Below are 6,230 nucleotides of genomic sequence, written 5' to 3'. Positions count from 1 at the left end.
AGGCTGGAGTGCAGTGGTCTGATCTCAGCTCACTGCAAGCTCCGCCTCCCAGGTTCATGCCATTCTCCTGCCTCAGCCTCCTGAGTAGCTGGGACTACAGGCACCCGCCACCACGCCCGGCTAATTTTTTGTATTTTTAGTAGAGATGGGGTTTCACTGTGTTAGCCAGGATGGTCTCGATCTCCTGACCTCGTGATCCACCCAACTCAGCCTCCCAAAGTGCTGGGATTACAGGTGTGAGCCACTGCGCCTGGCCATTATTTTATTATAGTGATGATTATCTTGATGTTTTTCCTTGGATTAGTTAGCATTTTATTTTTGCCCTTCTTCACTTTGATGAACACCTTTTATTAGATACATTTTGAAAATTTGCCAGCAGTTGATTTTAGATGAGTGGATTATATTTCTGTATGTGTGCATTGTTTGTTTTTATTCACTCTCCTCACCAGGTGTAATCAGGGCAATGTAACCTTTCATTGGGCGGACTTCTATATAGTTTCTATTGTTTTTATAACAAATTCTTTTATTAGAATTTTGTGCATAGTTTTTTTGTGGCTATCACTGATCACAACCTAATAAGAAATTAAGGGGATTGTGAAATATGGTGAAATGTTACTCCTCTATGTTATGTGTGATCGCTTCCTCTGAATTTTAATATATACTTTTGATTGAAGATAAAGTAGTGTGGTGATTAAAAGCATGGACTTTGATATCAAAGGGATCTGGATTTGTTTTCAAACATTTAGGGGTCTAGTAATGTTGGATGAGCTACTTCAGTGCTTCAATCCATATCCTTATATGTAAAAAGAGATGGTAATAAGAAAAATTAGTTGAAATTATGCATGTAAATGATTTAGAACATACAAAACACTCAGCAATACCAGATAATATTATTAATTGTAAGTAGCATATCAGTTTAGCCTTCAACTTTTGGATACTTTTTACATTTTTCAAACTTCAAATATGAAAGTTTAAAAAAATTAAATATTGTTGGATTTTGCCAAATAAGTACTTGTACACATTGTTGCTTTGGGATTGAGAGTGCAGTGAGATCAGTTTAACTAATGCTTCCTGTATATGATGTATTAAATTTCTATTACGTGTACTTGTACATTTTAAGACACCTGATTTTTTTTGTTGTTGTTTTCTTTGCATATAAATTGTGGAATGAGGAAGACATTTATGTCAGTGATAGAGAACTTTTCCCAGTGGCCTCCCTACCACCAACTCTTCTTCCATTTGACATTTTCTTTTCTCTTATTCAGATTTATTAACATTTATTTTATGCCTATTTTGTATCAATTTCTTTCATACTCTAATGGCTCTACATACAAACCTGTTTCATATAAAGAAAGTCTTAGAAGAATTAAGGTTTTATTGTATTTCTAACCATTTGATGTAATGAAACTGAATTCCTCATCTTTGATGCTGCTTAGATCGGTGTGGGACATGCTCATACGCTACTAAGGAGCTGTATGGAAATGATAATCAACTGACCTTGAAGCTGGCAATGTGTTTGGTATAGTATAACAAATTCTTCAAGATAGCTCACAGAAGGGTGCAAATATAAAATTAACCTAATGTAGGCAGATGTTTTTAGATTCTTATAAACCCAATATACTATTCTTAATACATTTTCTTACTTTTCGTTTTATATGTCTTTGACCTGCCATTGCTTTGACAATTCACCTGTCCTAAACTCTATGTATTTATGTATTTAGTTGATAACTTTTTAAGATGCTCATCCTGATTAGAATGTTGATAGTGAATGATTCTACCTCCTTTAGGAATTCCTGTCATTCTGGTTGTTGGTAATATGTGAAAGTGAAATCCATAGAGGTAAAAGGAAAGTGTTGCCCGCTGGATATTAGAGTAGTAATTTCAGGTGACTGTGCATAGGCAATACATTTTTGGAATTCTTGTTAAATTGGTATGATAATTTTGGCATGTTGGGGGCAAGAGATAAGCACTGTAATTGAATAGCAAATTCAATGAATTTCAGACTCTGTCTGATTGAGCATTTCATTATTTTGCTATAATACAGAAAAATCAGGATACTGTTCATGAATATATTAGGTAGAGAGGAAATTCTACCAAAATGTGTATATGTAGCTCTACTGGTGATATTTTGAATTCAATTTGATCCTTTGTATAAGCACATTCTAGGTCCTATGTCTATATGCGAATTCATTCTAGAGAATATTTTTATTATATTCTATAGCATGTGAAGTATATGTAATTTCAGTTGTGTAGAGTTATATATAACTATAGATAATATAATTATATATAACTATAATTATTATGTATATATTAGTTATGTATAACTAATATTAATATATGTTATCTATTATATATATTATATTAATATATATTAGTTATATATGACTAATATATGTTACATCTAATATAATATATAATATATTAGATATAATATATATAATATATAATATATTGGATATAATATATATAATATATAATATATTCGATATTATATATAATATATAATATATTCGATATTATATATATAATATATTAGATATAATATATAATATATAATATATTAGATATAATATATTATATAGTAGGTATAATAATATATCTAATATATAATATAGTAGATATAATATATCTAATATATTAGATATAACATACATTAGTTATATATTATATATTAGTCATATATAACTTATATATAATATATATTATATATTAGTCATATATAACTTATATATAATGTATATTATATATTAGTCATATATTAGTCAATATTTATTAGTCATATATATTAGTCAATATTCAGCTATTGTACTTTTGTCTCAGTGAAGCATACTGGACATTTCTAATGATTGGGTTACTTGGGATATTCGCAATCAATGGGATGTTACTATTAAGTGTCAAAGCCATTATCAGGAGTCCACTCCTGATTCTGGGTTAGCAGGCCACAAATAGTACTTACCAAATATTTTTAAAGTCCTATTTCAGGTATTTGGAAACTGTCAAACAGTCCTGCAAGATACTGTTTGGAAAGTTACTTTATTAATATATCTAAAGACATGAAAACTTTGTTTGTTTTAATGTATTTAAGGGAGTGTCTTGGCCATTGTTAGCGTGACGTAACAATATTTGTCTTCATATTCCTCCACAGAATGTTACATTTTGGTTTGTATTTGGCCCTAAATAATGTCTATAAGTAAGTTATCTCTTTGATAACTTTGATATATATATAATATATATTATATATAAGTTATATATGACTAATATATAATATATAACTAATGTATGTTATATCTAATATATTAGAGATATTATATCTACTATATTATATATTACATATATCATATATGACTAATATATAATATATATGTTATATATAAGTCATATATGACTTATATATAATATATATTATATATGTTATATATGACTAATATATAATATATATTAGATATATTAGACATAACATATATTAGTCATATGTAACTAATATATATAGTTATATATAGCATATATAATTATATATATAACTATATATATATAAAATAACCTCTCTCCTCTGTCTCCGCCTCTCATTCTTTCTGATCTCTCTCCATTTTTCCCTCATCTCCATTTTCTCTAAAATGCACATATATTCTTGTAATACTTTAAATAGTATTAAATTCAATCTGAAACAGACATTTTATGCCTATGACTGGTACACACACAAGGTCCCTTATTTAATTTTCCTGTGTTAAATAGCAATTATGTTACTTTTTGTAATAATGTAAACAAAATTGGTATATGTTGGTCTCAATGAGTACCTCATTTATTAAAGTAGTTGCATATAAAATCCCATGGCCATGTCTTGTACAAATGATAGAGTTCACCTTTTCTTTTGTTTTACAAGATACCTTTTAAAATTTGCTAAATGCTTGGGTTTGACAGAAAACATGTGCTAACAAAGAATGGATCAGAAAAATGGAAGTTCTTTCACTGGATTTATCCTACTGGGTTTCTCTGACAGGCCTCAGCTGGAGCTAGTCCTCTTTGTGGTTTTTTGATCTTCTATATCTTCACTTTGCTGGGGAACAAAACCATCATTGTATTATCTCACTTGGACCCACATCTTCACAATCCTATGTATTTTTTCTTCTCCAACCTAAGCTTTTTGGATCTGTGTTACACAACCGGCATTGTTCCACAGCTCCTGGTTAATCTCAGGGGAGCAGACAAATCAATCTCCTATGGTGGTTGTGTAGTTCAGCTGTACATCTCTCTAGGCTTGGGATCTACAGAATGCGTTCTCTTAGGAGTGATGGCATTTGACCGCTATGCAGCTGTTTGCAGGCCCCTCCACTACACAGTAGTCATGCACCCTTGTCTGTATGTGCTGATGGCTTCTACTTCATGGGTCATTGGTTTTGCCAACTCCCTATTGCAGACGGTGCTCATCTTGCTTTTAACACTTTGTGGAAGAAATAAATTAGAACACTTTCTTTGTGAGGTTCCTCCATTGCTCAAGCTTGCCTGTGTTGACACTACTATGAATGAATCTGAACTCTTCTTTGTCAGTGTCATTATTCTTCTTGTACCTGTTGCATTAATCATATTCTCCTATAGTCAGATTGTCAGGGCAGTCGTGAGGATAAAGTCAGCAACAGGGCAGAGAAAAGTGTTTGGGACATGTGGCTCCCACCTCACAGTGGTTTCCCTGTTCTACGGCACAGCTATCTATGCTTACCTCCAGCCCGGCAACAACTACTCTCAGGATCAGGGCAAGTTCATCTCTCTCTTCTACACCATCATTACACCCATGATCAACCCCCTCATATATACACTGAGGAACAAGGATGTGAAAGGAGCACTTAAGAAGGTGCTCTGGAAGAACTACGACTCCAGATGACTTGGAGAGAAAGACATTGCAGTGGAGGAACTTTGAATGCCAGAGCCCTTAAGATGTATGCGTTCTCCATGTGTCATCCAAAATTTCCCCTGCAACTCTCCAGGAAATTTCTTTACATAAATCTCTAAGGAAAACAAGTAATTAAAATCTAAGTTCATGAATTTATTTCACCCTCCAGAGATGTTGATTTCATATTCCAGTGGCGTGATTATAGCTCACTGCAGCCTCAAACTCCAGGGCTGAAAAAGGATCCTCCCACCTCAGCCTCCAGAGTAGCTGGGACTACAGGTGACCATCACCACGCCTGGCTTAAATTTTATTGTTTATATTATAATATACAGACTGCAGTCTGTATATTCTAGGTTTATTTATATAATAATCAGGCTAAATAGATCATATGCATCCTGCTAAAAACATTACTAGCTCAGTAAGCAGTATATAGCAACTCGTATAAGACCCTCATTTATCTCCTATTCCGCAAATTTCAGCAGCTACTATTTGCCAGAGTTCTGATTTGGCCAGCATCATCGAGAAGGGAAGACCACATTATAGGTTGGTGTTAATCATTTCCTTTGCAGGTGACTTCCAATCTGATGCTTTTGTGTTGCATAGCTGAGAAATTTCTTCCTCCTTTTTAGTATCATAGCATATTTTAAAACCTGATCTGAAAGACTCTGGGAAATGTATGGAAATGTCTTGGAAATGTGATTTACTAGAAAGGTGGGATATGCATAAATGTAGAAAAGAGAAGATGAATGACTTGAATCAGAGGGATCAGGGGATGGAGTTCTTGAGATTACCAGAGAGAGTGGACACAATTTGCTTTTTTTTTTTTTTTTGTAAAAAGTTTATTGATTTACATTGTTTAGAGGATTTACTTTAACCATTCTGAACTGAATACAATCTGCTAAGTCTTCAAAAGCCTGCAAGTTTTTTTTTCTTTTGTATTAGGGAAACATTTCTGGGAATAGTTTTAACCTCTTTGAGTGTGAAGCTATTCAGCTATTGTACTTTTGTCTCAATGAAGCATACTGGACATTTCTAATGATTGGGTTACTTGGGATATTCGCAATCAATGGGATGTTACTATTAAGTGTCAAAGCCATTATCAGGAGTCCACTCCTGATTCTGGGTTAGCAGGCCACAAATAGTACTTACCAAATATTTTTAAAGTCCTATTTCAGGTATTTGGAAACTGTCAAACAGTCCTGCAAGATACTGTTTGGAAAGTTACTTTATTAATATATCTAAAGACATGAAAACTTTGTTTGTTTTAATGTATTTAAGGGAGTGTCTTGGCCATTGTTAGCGTGACGTAAATCTCTGTCTGGATTCGTTCCCCATCTTGAAAGAA

General features: G+C 32.7%; 1 pseudogene across 1 annotated transcript; it reads left to right on the top strand.

The window, feature by feature from the left end:
• Nucleotides 1-3,901: 3,901 nt before the first annotated feature.
• OR2B8 (olfactory receptor family 2 subfamily B member 8 (gene/pseudogene)) lies at nt 3,902-4,876 on the top strand (annotated as a pseudogene). The gene has a single exon (NR_174096.1). The product of NR_174096.1 is annotated as an olfactory receptor family 2 subfamily B member 8 (gene/pseudogene) (transcript).
• The last annotated feature ends 1,354 nt before the right edge of the window (nt 4,877-6,230 follow it).

This window comes from Homo sapiens, chromosome 6 (genome assembly GCF_000001405.40).
Source record: "Homo sapiens chromosome 6, GRCh38.p14 Primary Assembly".
NCBI classification, from domain to species: Eukaryota; Metazoa; Chordata; class Mammalia; order Primates; family Hominidae; genus Homo; species Homo sapiens.
This window is presented reverse-complemented; position numbering and strand designations above follow the sequence as displayed.